At 49.5% G+C, this 18,641-nt stretch overlaps 1 long non-coding RNA gene across 1 annotated transcript in view, besides 3 other annotated features; it reads left to right on the plus strand.

The window, feature by feature from the left end:
• LINC03062 (long intergenic non-protein coding RNA 3062) overlaps positions 1–18,641 on the plus strand; it is a 79,977-nt gene that overhangs the window by 37,597 nt on the left and 23,739 nt on the right. The gene's annotated exons all lie outside the window — the stretch shown is intronic.
• Positions 190–1,595: an enhancer, noted in NCBI's record as "VISTA enhancer hs1339". NCBI's record gives its function as "enhancer in: neural tube[6/7] | hindbrain (rhombencephalon)[6/7] | midbrain (mesencephalon)[6/7] | dorsal root ganglion[6/7] | forebrain[6/7] | limb[6/7] | nose[6/7]" and the evidence as "EXISTENCE:transgenic organism evidence [ECO:0001131][PMID:17130149]".
• Positions 8,365–8,936: an enhancer, noted in NCBI's record as "H3K4me1 hESC enhancer chr9:92300659-92301230 (GRCh37/hg19 assembly coordinates)". NCBI's record gives its function as "activates a minimal SCP1, AML or CMV promoter by ChIP-STARR-seq in naive and primed H9 embryonic stem cells {active_cell/tissue: H9 hESC(naive and primed)}" and the evidence as "EXISTENCE:reporter gene assay evidence [ECO:0000049][PMID:30033119]".
• Positions 13,460–13,509: a silencer, noted in NCBI's record as "silent region_20017". NCBI's record gives its function as "represses an Ori minimal core promoter by ATAC-STARR-seq in GM12878 lymphoblastoid cells {active_cell/tissue: GM12878}" and the evidence as "EXISTENCE:reporter gene assay evidence [ECO:0000049][PMID:35858748]".

Below are 18,641 nucleotides of genomic sequence, written 5' to 3' on the forward strand. Positions count from 1 at the left end.
GTGTGCCCAGAGAAAGGCTCCAGAAAATCAAGCTACCACGTGCTTTTCAGCAAAGACTCAGCATGCAAAAATGAGGTGTCCCCCAAACACCTTCATGGAGCCCCCTCCCGGGTGCCAGGCCAACTTTGGTTGACTTCGGTAATGTGTATTTCCATGACATCCTCTTGTCCCCTGGTCATGCATGCCGGAGTCCCAAAAAGCATGGATGTTCCTAAACAGCCCCCTGAGCCCTGCCTTCATGAATGTCAGCGTGGGGGGCTCCGGCAGGCCCACGTGGGCATGTGCCGGTGAGTGTGAAGCCTCTGTCTGCCTGTCTGGGTCCCCTGTAATTCATCAGATGCATGTTTGTAACAAAAGGATCATGCCACACGCCAGGGATCTTTGAAACTGAAAGTTTGGTTCTTAAATGAGCCCAACTGCAAACCAAATGGTGTGTGGAGTGCTGAACGGGTGGGGACAAAAATCGTGGTGGAGGAGGTGGCTTTTCTAGCAGGGCAGCATTTCACAGCACGTGCTGCCAACTGTTGCAAAAAGAAAAAAAAAATCCTAAGAAGAAGAAAGAGAGAGGGAAATGTACATATTCCTGCAGCCCTGCAAGTGCCCTTTCTTCTTCATTGTTCTCTGGAGCAGGCAGCAGGCCCGGCCAACAGCTGTGCATTGCGTGTATCACTAACAGCTGCTTTTTCCTGGGGTGAAATTAAAAGATTAGGGGATATGGGCACGTGCTGGCCTCAGGAGCCCAAACAATGCTTGATTTAGGGTGAAACTTGTCTGGGGAGACTGACAAAGGAGGAGGCTCCGAGTTGGCCAGGGGTCAAAGAGGGGAGCTGGCTTTGACAGAGACAAAAGGAGGGAGGGGGTGGGAGGCAGAGGGCTAGGGGAGCCAGGCCAAGTGAAAAGAGGCCTCGCAGCAGCTGCTCCTGCCCCAGAAATTTGAGACGGGTCTTTTCACAAACACAAATGCCTGAGAAGAATAGGGGGCCACGCTTAGCTGAAATGGCTCGTTTGCAAATGAAAAGGAGATTGGGAGCCCTTACATTTTCCAAGTTTTCACCTAAGAGGATGGAAAATGATTAGTGTAGGCAAGAAGTGTGCAGAGGAGCAGATGGGCCAGCCACCCTGGAGCTGCACTCTGTGTTTACATAACAATCATGCCCACTGCCGGGGTGCAGAAGCCCAGGCCCCCTAAATGTCCAGCAAGGACACTGGCACCCCGGAATTCGATCAGTGCAGTTCCAGCTGGGACTCCACAGGACGTCTTTGCTACAGCGTGTGTGGATATTAATTTATGTGCTGGATAAATTAAATACACTTATAACCATGAAGCGGCAAGGTGATTGCAGCAGGAGGCAGGCTGGCAGACAGCACGCCGGTGTGGTTGTTGTCCCTTGGCAGGATGCCTGACTTCCCAGACTTGCTGTTTCTTCTTGGCCCCTGCTGAGAACATTGGAGGAGAACCCCTGGCCTGCACTTCACCGTGTGTGACGAAAAGGGTTTTAACCATGAGCAAACACAGGGTTGGAAGCCAGTCCCCCAAATCAGGCAGCACAGAAGGAGGATAGCAATAGCCATCTTAGTAGGAAAAGCACCTGCCACACCTCAGGAGCTTCCCATGTGCCTGGTGGGGTCCCACAGCAGCTTCGTGGGTTTGCAAGGGTGCCCAGAGGGCAGCGAGGCCTCGATTCTAGAAATATTCCTGACAAAAATGCACGACCTGAGATAATCTTGAGAAAACATCTGACAAACCTACATGACCTCTGCTCTGAGTTGGATGCCAGGGTCCTGGAAGACAGAAATTTTGGAGACAGAGAGGCAGGCCAGCTGCGAGCAGCACACACTTGGGATGCTCTTCTGTGGTAAAAGGCATTGTCGAAACAACCGGCAAAATCGGAATCAGTTCTGCAGATTAGACAATACAATTGCATCCATGTTCATTTCCAGGGTTTTAGGACTGTACCGTGGTTACATAATAGAATGTCTCTGATTTTTTTTTAGAAAATAAACAGTAAATATTCAGAAGTAAAGAAGCATCATGCCTACAACTGACTCCCATATGGTTCAGAAAAAAATTACAACTCTCTCTCCTCTCTCTCTCTACATATATCTACATTAAGGGGTGGCGGAGGAAGAGAGAAGGCAAAAATGGTACAACGTCAACATTTGGGAAATCCGGGTGAAGATTATGGCCATTCTTTGTACTGTTCTTGCAACCTTTTTTCTAAGTCTGAAATTATGTCAAAATACAAATGTTAAAAGGGCCAAATGGGGCAGTGGAGGTGTAGACCATCTGTGTGGTCATCCTGGTTCCCCTCCCAGGTAGAGACACATCTGGAAGTCGTTAGTTCTGGGGCATTTTGGCACCTCGCTCAGCAATCCCCTGGGTCCAGAGCAGCCCTGGCCCAGGCCTGGTATTCTTATCAGCTCCTAGTACATCTGTGATGGACAATGCCTGCCACCTGGGATTATGTTGTCCAGTGTTGAGTGTGTGGAGGAGGAGACAGGGCTGCTGTTTTGGGCACGAACACTCTCCTGGGCCAGCCTGAAGGATAGAGTGTCCTCCCAAAGTTGACTCAGTTGGAGAGGTCTGAGTCTCTGCTCTGGCTGTGGGAGGCTGTCGAGTCACCAGGTGGGAAGGTTTCCCCGGGGGCCAAGAGGACAAGTCTACAGCTGACCTGGTTGTAGTGGCAGAAGAACAAGGGGCTCAGCCAGCAAACAGGAGAAAGGAGGCCCACTCCCAGAGATGTCCCCGGGCACTGTGGTGGTGGCCACCTCTAACATGCTGGTTTTTTTTTTTTTTACGATGAGCTGCTCTTTTCATACACTGAGTGATAACTGGATCATTGCATTAAATTGACTGCTTCTCCTGCTAGGTATTAGCTGATAGTTTTTTCTTTTGCCCCTCCCTCTTGCCTACACATCTGTATCACCTGGAGAGGTTATTAAGAGTTGCCCAGGCCTCATCCATCCCCAAAGAGCTGTATCAGAATCCCTGGGGATGGGAAAAAGGTGGAAGCTGGGTTTTATTGTGCTGTAAAAAGTCATGATAGGGATTTTGAGTGTGTTTTCAGCATTGCGAAGGGCTGCCTGGTAGGTTGGACTCAAGGACCTAGCTGTGTTCTCAAGAAGAGTGTGGGCTGGGCACTGTGGCTCACACCTGTAATCCCACCATGTGTGAGCACCTGCAGGGTGCCTGGAACCATGCATGGCTCCTCATGGCTGCACATGCGTGTCTGCTGAGTATAAGAAAAAGATCTGAAAGAAATCATTGCTGTTCAGAACAATCTTCACTCAGCACATGGCAACATGCTGGGGATATGCTCATGTCCATACATGTGTCCATGCACATGATCTGTGCTCAGGAAACTGGGGAAAGAAACTGAAAGTAAGCTAAAAAAAAAAAATAGCATGTTCTCAGGGCACACTATCACACACACCCGAACTCAGCTGACTCCTGTGTGGCTTGCTTGTGGCCCAAATCACCTGTTTTCCTCCTACTTCCAACCTTCCCGAGGTTGGAAGGTGCTAGTGAGAGGTGACACAGTGCTAGCAGTGCTAGCAGCCCTCGCAGCCCTCGCTCACTGTTGGCGCCTCCTCGGCCTCCGCGCCCACTCTGGCCGCACTTGAGGAGCCCTTCAGCCTGCCACTGCACTGTGGGAGCCCTTCTCTGGGCTGGCCGAGGCCGGAGCCGGCTCCCTCCGCTTGCGGTGAGGTGTGGAGGGAGAGGCACGGGCCGGAACCGGGGCTTTGCGCAGCACTCGTGGGCCCGCTAGATTCCGGGTGGGCATGGGCTTGGCAGCCCCGCACTCAGAGTGGCTGGCCCTGTCGGCTCCGGGCAGTGAGGGGCTTAGCACCCTGGCCAGCAGCTGTGGAGGGTGCCCCGGGTCCCCCAGCAGTGCTGGCCCACCTGTGCTGCGCTCAATTTCTCGCCAGGCCTTAGCTGCCTCCCGCAGGGCAGGGCTCGGGACCTGCAGCCCCCTATGCCTGAGTCTTCCCCCCGGCGGCCGCCCCCGCCCCCCGGCCCCCCGGCACCCCCCGCCCCCCCCGCCCCCCCCGGGCCCCAGCAGCCGCCGCCCCCCCTCGCCACCCCACCGCCGCCGCCCCCCGCCGCACCGCTGCCCCCGCCCCGCCACCGCCACCCCCCGCCACCGCCCCCCTCCCCCACCACGGGCTCCTGGGCTGCCTGAGCCTCCCCAACGAGCACCACCCCCTGCTCCACAGCGCCCAGTCCCATCAACCACCCAAGGGCTGAGGAGTGCGGGTGCACCGTAAGGGACTGGCAGGCAGCTCCACATGCGGCCCCCCTGCCAGACCCACTGGGTGAAGCCAGCTGGGCTCCTGAGTCTGGTAGGGACTTGGAGAATCTTTATGTCTAGCTAAGGGATTGTAAATACACCAATCAGCACTCTGTATCTAGCTCAAGTTTTGTAAATGCACCAATCAGCACTCTGTGTCTAGCTGAGGGTTTGCAAATACACCAATCCACACTCTGTATCTAGTTAATCTGGTGGGGACTTGGAGAACCTTTATGTCTAGCTCAGGGATTGTAAACGCACCAATCAGCACCCTGTCAAAAAGGAACAATCAGCTCTCTGTAAAACAGACCAATTGGCTCTCTGTAAAATGGACTAATCAGCAGGATGTGGGTGGGGCCAGATAAGAGAAGAAAAGCAGGCTGCTGGCGCCAGAAAAGAGAATAAAAGTGGCAACCCGCTCCGGTCGACTTCCATACTGTGGAAGCTTTGTTTTTTCGCTTTTTGCGGTAGATATTTCTACTACTCACTCTTTGGGTCCACGCTGCCTTTATGAGCTGTAATACTCACCGCAGAGGTCTGCAGCTTCACTCCTGAAGCCAGGGAGACCAGGAACCCACCGAGAGGAACAAACAACTCCAGACGCGCCGCCTTAAGAGCTGTAACACTCAGGGCGAAGGTCTGCAGCTTTACTCTGGAGCCAGCGAGACCACGAACCCACCAGAAGGAAGAAACTCCGAACGCATCTGGACATCAGAAGGAACAAACTCCGGACACGCCGCCTTTAAGAACTGTAACACTCACGGCGAGGGTCCGCCGCTTCTTTCTTGAAGTCAGTGAGACCAAGAACCCACCAATTCCAGACACACTGGTAGAGAGTCGATTTAGCAAAGTGTCATTGCCACACAGAGGGTCCTGTGGGCAGTGACGTTTTGGGGAAGGCGCTGCAGAAAGGTCAGCCGTAGCTTGCTTGCTCCTGGGTTTTACCTCTTCTTCTGCAGAGATTCAGAGCTACAAAAGTCAGACTCCTTGCCACAGGTTTCAAGTGCCGTGGAAGTCCTGCGTGGGGACAGGCAAGGCCTCATGACATCTTGGGACACAGCCCTTGGAGGTAGAGGGAGAGGCCACAGACACCCCCAGAGAGAGCACAGAGCCCTCGGCAGCTGGCCTCACCAGGCTCTGGAGGAGGTGCCTCGGCTTGCCTCTTTCGAACTGGTGTCTTTTCCAAGGCCCAAGTGACTTGCAAATCCACTTTCATCTGCCATAGCATGTTAAAAGTTCTCAAAAACCACAGGGCAGGCCGGGTGCAGTGGCTCACTCCTGTAATTCCAGCATTTTGGGAGGCCGAGGTGGGCAGATCATGAGGTCAAGGGGTCGAGACCAGCCTGGCCAACATGGTGAAACCCCGTCTCTATCAAAAATACAAAAATTAGTCGGGTGTGGTGGCGCGGGCCTGTAATCTCAGCTACTCGGGAGGCTGAGGCAGGAGAATCCCTTCAACCTGGGAGGTAGAGGTTGCAATGAGCCTAGACTGTGCCATTGTTCTCTAGCCTGGGTGACAGAGCAAGACTCTGTCTAAAAAAAAAAAAAAAAACCAAAAACATGGGGCATCTGAAGTTACGACTTCCAGATAATTTAGCAAAAGAGAAAGGTTTCAGAGTAGGAATTTAGCTATGATTTTTTTTAAATTAAATTTTTTAAAATGTGAAAGCACATATTGTGGTGTCTCTTAGCCCCAGAGCCAGAGGGCAATTAGACTCTAGTGTCCTCATTGTACCCTAAAGCAAAAGCTAAGCGTGCTCCTGGCAGGCACAGGCCGTAGCAGGGCCTACAGGCTGCCCCTTTCTTGGTAGTGCAGTGATCCTAGCCAGATCCAGACATATATACTTGGCCCACGGTGAGGGGCTGGCAGGGTTGTGGGAGAGGGTCTGTGTGGCACATGCTGAGTGGTGGATTGTTCTCAGAGTGAAGTGTGTTTTTCTTCTCCAGCACTGCCTCTCTGTAGAGACACGCCTGGCCAGCAGCAGAAGCTCCAGCATTCTTTGTTATCACCTCTCTGGACTAAGTGAGAAGTCCACCCGTCCTATCCCTCTTTACCTTCCAGTTGGGGTTGGGGCCAGCGACTGCTGCATACTGTGGGTGGCAGTTTTGAGATGCACCCACACGTTCTTCAGCACCCCTACCCCTGAGGGGTGAGGTCTGCCTCCTCCCCTGGGACCCAGGCTCATCTTCAGGACTGGCGGATCCACAGTGTCCAGCAGACAGTGTGTCTGCTGGGATGGTGTCTGACTCCTGAGGATGAGCCCTCAAAGGCACTGCAGCTTCTACACTGAGCGCTGCTGGGAGGTTCTTGCTGGAGCCCTGAGTGTTAATAACACCCAACAAGTCCTGCCACCTGTGGCCGCCATAATGCCAGGAAGCACAAAATATCCCATGGGGAGAGAGCACATGGGAAGGGTTGAGGCTGTATGATGAGATGCCTGGCCAGCCCCTGACAGCTCCTGTCACTGTCTGACTACACCGCAGAAAGCCCTAAGCCAGAGCCACCCAGCTGAGCCTTCCTGACACCAGGAGTGAGCATAAAATAACTGTGGTTGTTTTAAGACACTCAGTTTGGGACGATTTGTTACACAGCAGTAGACAATGAGGATACCTGATGCTCCCTGCTATTACCCTTCTCGCTCCAGACTGGGAAACCCCATGCTTCCTGGACAGCCCATGGATTCTTAGAGAGAGGGCCCAAGGGTTCTTCTCCTGCCATTTCCAGCTCTCGGCCCTCAACAAGGCTGCTTCAGATGACGAGGCACAAATCCCAAGCCTTATGCTTGCTTACTTACAAGTGCCTCTGCTAATTTACTTTTAATTCCTCCCTTTCTTTCAAAGGGCTTGCAGGTGCCTTGGCATGCTCCCACAAGGAGTTAAAATGAAATCAAGGACATTGGCAGACTTTAGTAGAAAAGTGGGGAAGAGAAATGAATATATCAGGAATCTAAGATAAAGTGGATGCTGGCATGGAGTTAATACTTAACTCTCATTTCTTGACAGCTAAGGGTTTTTTTTTTTTGAAGTGCCAGTTCTTTAAAAAAAAAAAAAGGTAGAGTAGTTCCTCCAGAGAGGCAAGTTATTTTCCTGGCATTTTTGCCCAGAAAAATAAAGTATTTAAATATACAGCATAGGAAATAACATAACATTTAATGTTTCCAACAAAATGTGTTTTCAGAGGAATAAAACTCTCACGTGGTAATTTTTCGTGTCGTTGCATAATAAAGTCCTTGGGCAAAATGTTTTGTCCTCCTCTGGGCACAGCCTATCTTTTGGCAGCTGGACAGAGCTCAGAAGACCCGGGAGACAGAATCTGCCTTGGCGGGCAGGTCCCTTGTGGACATCGGCAGCCCTTGCTGTGCTTTTAGCAGGAACAGGGTGATGTCTCACCAATGCCAGGGGCAGATATTCTGGGCCGTTGAATGAGGCCGGATCCACATGCTCTTGAGCTTTCCAGACAAAGCAAATGCTGACATTCTGTTCCACAAGTCCTGTCGGGAACTCTGGCTCCAGTGGAGAGCCAGGGGACCGTGAGGGCCAGTCAGCGCCTGCTTCTCCCTTAGAAGGTTTGTTGGGCTGGAATATCTGGACGGCACTCCATGGACTTCTCTGGAGCATGAGACAATCTGAATAGGCACAGGTGGTGCCTTGGATCTGTGCTGTGTGACTCAAGCTGCAGGCTGGAGGTTCTCCCTGGAGACAGCTCGGGCTGCTGTCCTGCTATAGGAACTGGCCAGGCCTCCCTCTGCAGGCACCAAGTAATGGCTTTGCGTTCTTGTTGGTCACGGCTAACATGTATTCATGCCACACAAAACACAGGCACGTGCGGTGCGTGGGTTTTTATGCCTTATCGCCTGTACCAAAAATAAATCTTCCTTGTCAGGCCTGACTCCAGAGCATGGGAGTGGGCACAGCGTCAGTCGTCTGGCACTGCCTCCCTTGTCATCCTGGGGTTGCCATCATGGAATGGAACTGCTCTCTGTCTGCTTTGTCTTACTCCTCCACTCCAGCGTGTACCCACAGAGAGGAATGGCACAGGGGACACACATTTCCCTGGATGTGGGACATCTGCAAGGGCTCTCTGTGTGTCCCTCCAGCAGGAGGGCTGTGTCCTGTTCTTTGGGGGAGCTGGGGATCTGGTGGGTATAAATGCTCCACCTCCGGCTTCCAGCATCCTAACAGAGGCTGCGCCCATTTGGGCAGAAGATTGGACCCGGGGCAGGGTCCGTGAGCACTGGGAGGCTCGCCAGTGGCTTGGCCCTGCGTAAACCTGGACAACTTGGACAAACTCTGGGGCAGGGTGGGGAGAGGCCCAGGAACTACCCTGGTGGAAATTCCCACCCATGTGGTGTGGGGGATCCGGCTCTTGATATGTAGGGAAATGACGAATGTGCAATTTTCTGCTCACCTGAGATCCACGCTGGCCATAAGAGCATTATTATTTTCTGACAGGACAATAAAAATGCGTGCTTTCTCTTACCATCTAGCTCTGTGCACTCCAGTTAAATCACACCTAGCTGGCTGCTGACTCAGCCTCTTGCAGAACGTCCAGACAGATGTTCCAACATTACCTGGTCACTCCTGCCTGGAGCTGCAGCCTCCCTGCTGGTTCCCATCCCCAGGGAGCCGGCCTGCTCTTCCTGCCCTGCCACCTGTGTTGCTCCAGGCTCAGCCCTCATCCTCGGGGAGCATCAAGGTCAGAGTCAGCAATGCTCTCACGTGGTTCTGAACAACATGCCCAGGCAGCTCCCAAGAGCAGCTCTGCCAGATTCTACCATTCCCATTCTCCTGTTGGTGACTATATGCCTTCTCTTTTTATAAAACTATTTCCTTCTCCTTTGTAGGCAGCTCACTCAGTTTCCTTATGGCTGAGTTGCCCCCTTGGTAAGTGAGATATCAGATGTAGGATGCCTAGAAGCCCCTCTACAAAGGACACTGATGACTATGATACTGATGATGTACAGCTTTCTAGAAGCATTGGTGGACCCTGCTATGCACTCTAGACTCCCTTCCAGGAAGACCTTGCTGCCCAGCTGCAGGGATGTGGTCAGCAGACAGCCCCCAGCTGGCCTTCCTCCAGGCTCAGGGTCACCTCAGCTTCCTCAGCCACTGCACCCATCCCAGGTGGCCACCTCCAGCACTGGGGTGCAGTCCAGGAGGCAGTCGCACAGGGCCGGCAGCTGCCTAACGGGCAAATCTTCAGTGGTATCCCTGACCTACAGCCCCCTCGGGGCCAGCCCAGGCTGGCAGGGAGCCTGTATCTTGCTGTCCTGTACCCTGCCCTGTGCTATGGATCCCAGGGTGCTCCTTCATCCAACCCTGCATGCCAGCTCTGTGAGAGTTGGCTAGGATGGGCACAGATGTCAAAGCTGGGGGGCCGGAGAGTTTACTTCCAGCTCCCTCTTTCAATAGGTGAGGCGCAGCATGGCTGACCTGCAGCTCAGCCCCAGCCTCTCTCTGCATATTCATTGGGACAGCAGACAGGAGGCCAGAGAGCCAGTGCTTCCGACAGAAGCCAGGGAGGCCTGTGGAAAACTGTATTTCCTTGTGGTTTATACAATGAGAACACTGGTGTAGAGTTCCAGGCCCCTCCACTCTGTAGGGCATTTTATTTCTTGGCTTCAGTGTCAGAGGACAGAATGACATTAGCCCCATTCAATATTTCTTTCATGCTCTCAAGGGAGGCTGCAGGGCTCCACCTGCCCATCCTGTATGTCTGTAATTTTTGCTCCTGGTTTATTACTTACCCACATGCGCAATGTAAACACGTGCCTACTGAGTGGCCAGGCCGGTCACAGCATCCACCTCCTGAAACCTGTCAGGAGGGGCAGGAGGGGCTCAGAGCCACTTGTGTCCTGGGAGCACAGGACTGGGAATCAGATGGGCTTAAAGTCTCCCCACTGACTTTTATCAGAGCCACATGACCTAGAGGGCTGTCTTAGTCCATTTCCCATTGCTTGTAACAGAATACCTGAAACTGGGTAATGTATAAAGAAAGGGAATTTCTTACAGTTCTGGAGGCTGGGAAGTCCAGGGTCAAGGGCGTGCCTCTGGGGAGGACCTCCTTGCTGGTGGGGACTGACGAACATGCTCAGCAAGGCATCACGTGGTAAGGGGGCTGAGCGTGCTTTCCTTTGCTCATAAAGCCACTGAGATAACCCTTTAATCTGTTAATCAATGAAGAGATTAATCTGTTCCTAAAGGCAGAACCCTCATGATCCAATCACTTCTGATAGGCCCCACCTGAGTCTCAATATTGCCACATTGGGGATTTAGTTTCAACACGAGCTTTGGAGGGAACATTCAAACCATACAAGGATATACACATTCCCGGTCCTCACACATAAACTGGGCGGGAGAGCCTCAGGAGCTGTAGTACTGCCCCCTCAAGTTTCCCTAAAAGCAGCTGCCTTTCTTAGAGCTCAAGGCTGAGGGCACAGCACCGCCCAACTAAAGCTCGGCTGCCCTATATTCTGACGGATCCTTATTGATAAGGCCTGGAAAAGAGATATCCAGGGGAAAAGAACCCAATAGGAAAGAAATTGTGATTCAGGGCCTGGAACAATTTTGAGACTGTCATCAAGCCAAATGCAGAAGGAAAAAACCCACAAAAACAAGGTAACTAAAAACAGGGTAAAATGATAAGCACCCTAAGAGAGTTGTAGTGCAAATATGAAACCAATAAAAAGATGTTATGAAATGAAGCCATGAGGAGCTATAAGACAGGAGGAATTAGTTCATCTTCATGCCGGGAATATTGTTCCTGGCCTGCAGGATGGGAGAATGGCTCTGCAGAGAAGGAAGCTCATTCCTAGGGTGGCTCTACTTGGGTCAGAATTGAACAATAGTTTATAGTTATAATAACGTGAATGTAATCCCGGCACTTTGGAAGGCCAAGGCAGGTGGATCACCTGAGGTCAGGAGTTCAAGACCAGCCTGGCCAACATGGTGAAACCCTGTCTCTATCAAAAATACAAAAAAATTACCTGGGTGGGGTGGTGCATGCCTGTAGTTCCAGCTACTTGGGAGGCTGAGGCAGGAGAATTGCTTGAACCTGGGAGGCAGAGGTTGCAGTGAGCCGAGATCGTGTCACTGCACTCCAGCCTGGGCGACAGAGCAAGACTCCGTCTCTGGAACAAAAAATGTGAATCATGTTCATTTGTCTTTAATTGTTAGAAATCATTTATAAACAGAGCACATGCTGTGTGTTTGTCACTAAAGTGAAGATGGTCAAAAGTAAAAGGCAGGGGAAAAAGGGACATTTAGAAAAAGGTAGGAAAGTCAAGCAAAGGTGGGAGAATTGCTATTCTCATTGCTATTCTTTCATCTTGGAAAATAAGGTGTCAGGAATTACTCCTGAAAGCTGATAAAACAGATACTGAAATATATTCTTAGAGTTCCAAAGATAACAAATAAACTAGCTAAAGTCATAAATATAAATGCCAGACATTGGGAAAAGAGGGTAGCATAAGTTAGCAAAATATCCACTTTCCTTTTTTTTTTTTTTTTCTGAGACGGAGTCTCGCTCTGTAGCCCAGGCTGAAGTGCAATGGCACGATCTCAGCTCACTGCAACCTCCGCCTCCCAGATCCTGGTTCAAGCAATTCTCCTGCCTCAGCCTCCTGAGTAGCATAGGCATGCTCCACCAGTTATTTTTGTATTTTTAGTAGAGACGGAGTTTCACCATGTTGGCCAGGCTTGTCTTGAACTCCTGACCTCGTGATCTGCCCACCTCGGCCTCCCAAAGTGCTGAGATTACAGGTGTGAGCCACCGTGCCTGGCCACAAGATATTCACTTTTCAACTGGAAAGTCAATTGGTGTTTCCCACAGCTGATAACTTGTCAGAACAGAGGCATCTATCACAGGCAATCACAGATGACTGAATCCAGGAACAGCTATCAGATTTTCCCCGGAGAGGTGGAGAGGGGAGAGTGTAAGACCTTTGCCTTGCATCATAGCCTCTTTTGTTGTTGGTTTTTTCCCCCCTTTGGCTATCAGGTGATGTATTACATGGTACAAATAAACATTTTTAAAAGGCAATATGTCTTTGCAGAAAACTTGGAAAATATAGAAAAGCAAATAGAGAAAAGTAAAATTACTGGCAATCAGGGATAACCAGTTAGGATTCTTATTGTTGGTAGATTTCATATTCCATTATGGTCATTTTTCTTAAATAATTATTGTGTATACATTTTTGACATTTTCTTTTCTTTTTTTTTTTGAGATGGAGTTTCGCTCTTGTTGCCCAGGCTGGAGTGCAATGGCACCATCTCTGCTCACCACAACCTCCGCCTCCCGGGTTCAAGAGATTCTCCTGCCTCAGCCTCCCAAGTAGCTGGGACTACAGGCATGCACCACCACGCCTGGCTAATTTTGTATTTTTAGTAGAGACGGGGTTTCTCCATGTTGGTCAGGCTGGTCTCGAACTCCTGAACTCAGGCGATCTGCTTGCCTAGGCCTCTGAAAGTGCTGGGATTACAGGTGTAAGCCACTGCACCCGGGCAACAGGAGCGTGTGATAAGTTTAGATTTCTTTGAAAATGAAGTTTTAAATATTATGTATTAATATTTACATATTATCCTCCATCACCTTATGCACCACAACATATAATAATTCCCCTAATATGGGATATTTGGGTTGTTTGCAGTATATGTTATTATGACAAATTCCAAGGTAAGCTTTTTTTAAACATAAATCTTAGTATTCTTAAAGGTTTCCTTAGGATATATTCTTAGGGGATTACAGGGTCAATATGTATAAAGATGTTTAAAGCTCTATGTTGCAAGAATGCTTTCAGTAAGACTCCACTTAATTTCCTTTTCTTTGAAGGTCTACTAGTCTACCCATTGTCATGGTTTGTATCCTTTGGACCTATAGGTTATACTGAAAGTTAACATGTAATTATCAGAGATTTGCTATTTATCTGGGAGAAATTCCATTATTATGTGGTGTTGGTAGCACACTGTAAATATTGACCTCTGTAGCTAGGTGTAAAACCACAGGATTTGTGAATTCAAACCACTAATGAGTCCTGAAAATAGCAACTCTTAAGAACTGAGTATAGGGCTGACTATCGTGCTGAGAGCAGGAGGGAAGTATTGCTGACTGTGCGAAGACTAATGAGGTTTGAAGATCAACCTCAAACTTTACCAGCTTATATCTTCCTCCCCTCCCCTCCCTTCCCCTCTGTCCCCTCCCCTCCCCTCTGTCCCTCTCGTTCCCTCCCCTTCCCTCTCCTCTCCTCTCCTCTTTTCTTTTCCCACTATCCCTCCATCCTTTCATCCATCTGTCTATCCCACCAAGTTTTTGTTTTTTTTTTTGAGATGCTGTCTCACTCTGTTGCCCAGGCTGGAGTGCAGTGGCACAGTCTCGGCTCATTGCAACCTCCGCCCCCTGGGTTCAAGCGATTCTCCTTCCTCAACCTTCTGAGTAGCTGGGATTACAGGTGCCTGCCACCGCCCCTGGCTAATTTTTGTATTTTTAGTACAGACGGGGTTTCACTATCTTGGCCACACTGGTATTGAACACCTGACCTTGTGATCCACCCGCCTTGGCTTCCCAAAGTCTCATCAAGATTTTAAAAAGCTTCTTCAAAGTACTACTGCAGGCCAGGTGTGGTAGCTCACGCCCACAATCCTAGCACTTTGGGAGGCCAAGGCAGGAGGATCTCTTGAGTCCAGGAGTTCAAGACCCGCCTGGGCAACTTGGAGAAACCCTTGTCTCTACAAAAAAATACAAAAATTAGCCAAGCATGGTGGTAGGCGCTTGTGGTCTCAGCTACTTAGGAGGCTGAGGTGGGAGGATAGCTTGAGCCTGGGAGGTGGAGGTTGCAGTGAGTTAAGATTGTTTCACTGTACTCCAGCCTGGGTGACAGAGTGAGACCCTACCTCAAAAAACAGAGAAACAAAAAAACAAACAACAAACAACAACAACAACAAGAACTACTACTGCAGCAATCCCTTTCAGTGCTTCAAAAGATCAGAACTTTACCACGATTGACTCCTATGAAACTGAAGCTCTATGGGGCATTTTGACTTCAAAAGCAGCCACACAAAATATACCTCAAGTAATCCAAGGACACAAGGACACAGACGATGTTTGTGGGGAGGCTCAGAAATACTCCCCAACTTCTGAGAACATTAGATATTTTTATCTAGAGTGAAGAAAGCAGAAAATGACAAAAGATAAAATTCAGATACCAGAAGTTTAAGAGGACCATATAGACCAAATCCATTTTGTTCCGGGTGGGGCAGAGAGGTGCTTTTATAGAGAATTTGAAGGCCTCTAGAAGCTTCCAGTAACTGTGCAGGTTAGAATTTGAAAAAGTGCAAATAACTGAGAGGGAATCCATCTTAAACTGTAGTGTCTTTTCAAACTTTTTGTGAGTGCTCTGGTTCTGATCTCTCTCTTGTGTAGGTGACAGCTTTGCTGAGACAGAGGCTTTCTTCCTGTCTCGAGAAGGGAGCATCTGCACCATTATCAGTTCCTCTGAGTTGCTAATTACTTTTTGGTTTTGTGATTCTCTCAACAAAATAACATATCAAGAGAGGATGCTGCCAAGGCCTGGCTTTACAGTTGCATTATGAATCTTCTTGGACTGTCCTCTGAAGTTGGCCAGGCTCATCAAATATTTATAAACTCAGTACCTAATTCCACAGGGCACCTCGAAACATACACCATGAATGAGGCTATGGGCCTGGAGGCTGGGATCTTCAAGCTCACTGAAGCCACAGGGTGTCCTTATAAAAGAGCTTCATAAAAATGCAAATTAATAATAACAGTAGATCATCACTTATTCAACCTCCACTTTGAGGATCGTGGGCCATAATTAGGATGAAGTGCCAAGAACTGAGCCCCAGGGAGTTTGTAACTTTTTTTACTCTGGGGTCTAAGGGACATCATGGGGGCTTTTTGAGTTGAAAAATAAAGTGAAATTTGTGTCTCACACTACACCTACAGTTCCTTCTTGTCTCGATTGCCAGGAGGAAAGACTGAGATATAATACCTATCAGAGAATACTGACTGAAAAATAATTCACATTAATTCAACCTATTTATCCATGATGCCATTTTAATCATTAAAACATGGAAGACTTGGCCGGGAGCAGTGGCTCACACCTGTAATCCCAGCACTTTGGGAGGCCGAGGAGGGTGAATCACCTGAGGTCAGGAGTTCGAGACCAGCCTGACCAACATGGCGAAACCCTGTCTCTACTGAAAATACAAAATTAGCTAGGCATGGTGGCTTGTGCCTGTAATCTCAGCTACTCGGGAGGCTGAGGCAGGAGAATTGCTTGAACCCGGGAGGCAGAGGTTGCAGTGAGCTGAGATCACGTCACTGCACTCCAGCCTGGGCAACAAGAGTGAGACTCCATCTCAAAAAACAAAACAAAACAAAACAAAACAAAACAAAACAAAACATGGAAGGCTAGAATGTCAGAGGTAAAGTTTGGTGAAGTTACTGGGTCAGCTCTGTACACTAAAAAAAAAAAATGCTTGAAAATCATCCAGGATGTCTGCTGGGCCATCTTCAGATGGAGGTGGTGTTCTTTGGCAAGTGGTAGTCAACACAGCGGGAAAAAAATAGAGGAATGAAATGGATGGTGGTACAAGATGATGGCCTACAATTAATGGAGAGGGGGCGACACTGAAAATCTCTGGGGGGCGAGTAAATATTAAAGGTGATTGGATTTTTTAAAATGAGAGAAAATGTAGAAACAAAACACAGTGTGAGGTTGAGTAAGATGGAGATGATAAGATAGAAGAAATCTGGGTGGGGACATGAAGCTGGAGCAGACGAGGGGAGTGCAAGGCCCAGAATGTGCTTTGGAGATGAATGGAGAACTTAGGGACAATAAAGACTGTGTAGAGAGAGAAAGATGGAGTAAGAAAAAGAGAGGGACTGGCAGCTGCAGTGGCACATGTGCACTGAAGCAAGCTCGTGGCTACTGCTGTACCTCCATCTCTCTGGCTCTCTCTCCTCCTCCCCAGCCTCCAAGGGGCCAGCATGAAAATGCAGAGGACAGAGATGTGTGCTAAGCACGGCACTCATATGGTGTACCCCCAGTTGGGAGACTAAAGCTGTGCTAGTAGGGGCATAAGATAGCTGGGTGCTCTCTGGTGTGAATTTGGGGTAGAAAACTAACCATCTGACATAGCCGTAGTAGGTACATTGGTCGCCTTTTCCTTCGTGTGCTTGGAGGTAGAAGGGCGAACTGTTTCTGAGAGTGGAGAATGCCCTTTCCATCCTTTCTCTACCATTGCATGACAGGGCATGGGCAATGCTGTTTTCTTAGGCAGGAAGTCTATGTCCAGGGAAGGAGCATGAGAGACAAGGGGACTCCTAAAGGGAGGCCGGAAGGAGAGGATTCTGGGGTGGGGAAGAAGCGGACGCCTCCATCGGGCTGTATGCCAGCCTGAGGTATGAAAGGCTCACCACAGGGTCATGCTCAGAGGATGGCCGGTCCTTACAAGGGCACAGGGCTGCTGACGGGATACGCTGCTATGTGGGAGGAATTTGCCAAATGACAACCTTGGATGAAGAACTGCTCAAGTCTTTTTTTGGTGTCCGTTGTGAGCTCACACAGAGGAAACCTACCTACCAATGCAGAAACTGGATGAACAGGGGAGAAGTCAGAAAGCCCTTTATTGTGGATCACGGGGCAGTGAGGGGTGCCCTACCCACACATGGCATCCAGCAGGCAACAGTACCCTGACCTTCCTCCCAAGTTGTAGTTAGACATCCCTACGGAACAAATAAGAAAGGGCTCTCACATGGCTATATATTTAGACAAATACACAGATCAACTGACGTATTCATCAATGGATGCACAGATAGGCACATTCATACCTGGAACCTAGTGGGGCACACATTTTGAAAACACATTTTTCTGTAAGGTGATCTTGATAACATCCAGTGGTCACTGAGTGCCTACTTGGACATTATGTTGAGTACTTCACATTTAATTGGCACAATACCCCTTTAGGTAGAAACCGTAAGTTGCCCCATGGTCTGGCTTGGGCAGTGATGCACTAGAGTTTGAGCTCCTGCTCAGGGTCTCACCACCGGGCATGTAGCCAGATACAGGGCTCTAGCCCTCGGTGCTGCAGGGCCTACCCCGGAAAAAACCACCCCCTCTCCCAGTTTAATGCAAACAAGGAGAGCGGCTGGAGTGAATGGAAAGCACCATCACACTTTGAGGCAGATGAACCTTGATGAAGATGAGCAATGAAATGTATTGTGGGAAGTCAGTGATGCTAAGGAGCCATGGCTGGAAGGTTCTGCCGAGGCAGCAGGTGTGGAGGCTGAGGCACTGAGGGGCCACACCTTGCACAGGCTCCCCAGTTTGTCTCCACTGGATGATGTACCCCCTCTGTAAACCTTGTTTTGAACACACCTCTCCACGTAAGAGATGAAAAAAATATTAAGAGAAGCTCTAGTATGTTCTCCCTGCCCCCGCGGCCCTGCTTGTGTGTCCCGCCTCACACCGGGGCATCTGGGAGCTGCAGAGATGGGGAATAGGAAAAGCGATTTCGGGTCTATTGGCTCAGGCTTAAACAGTGAAAGAGAAGTTGGATAGGCGGAACTTGTATAAAAAGGTTTAAGGGCTTTCTCAGTAAGAGGCTTAATGAGGGCTAATATATGCCATCTAATATGCAGCATCTATTTTTAGGAAAGCTTGATTTTGCTAAGTGTCTCTGAGATGTTAGGATTCAGATGGTAGGGCAAATGACGGCTTTGGAATAAGGTGTTCTTATGTAAATCCCCAGGCTCTGCAGCCAATGAGATGACCCATTCCAATTACAAGGGGGATATGGGAGGAGGTAGAGGCCCCAAAGGGTAGGATCAGGGGCCGGCTGTGGAGCCAGCTCTGCCCTGAAGGGGCTGAAGCCCACCCGGCCTGCAGCTGCTTCCTGCTGCAGGACAGCCCTGGAAGGTCTGCAGCTCCCGTCAAAGGTATTGTCTCCCTCCGTGTCCACTTTGCTAAACTGTGATGTGATCAGCGTAATCAACCTGAAAATCTGCAGACATATCATGCCAGAGACACAGCCTGCAGCTTAATTTTAAGACTGCTTCACTCCATGATTCCTTTGATTCAGCTGGGGTGGGAGCTGCTGGGAGGTGATATGCAAATTTATGCAAATGAGAAGCAATTCAGAGTAGCTCAGAGTCCAGATCCCTTTTGTTCTTGGCTGTAGTGGGATTGGGTTCCTGGGCTGAGGAGAGCAGGACTGTCTTATGAACATCTTGCCCCTGAGGGTAAATGCTATAGTTTCTCAAACCTCTGCTAGTTGTTAAATTGTCTGCAAGTATTTTGACCTGGTTGAAGCTAATTTGAATTTATAACT

The sequence above is a fragment of the Homo sapiens genome, chromosome 9 (assembly GCF_000001405.40).
Source record: "Homo sapiens chromosome 9, GRCh38.p14 Primary Assembly".
Classification (NCBI taxonomy): Eukaryota; Metazoa; Chordata; class Mammalia; order Primates; family Hominidae; genus Homo; species Homo sapiens.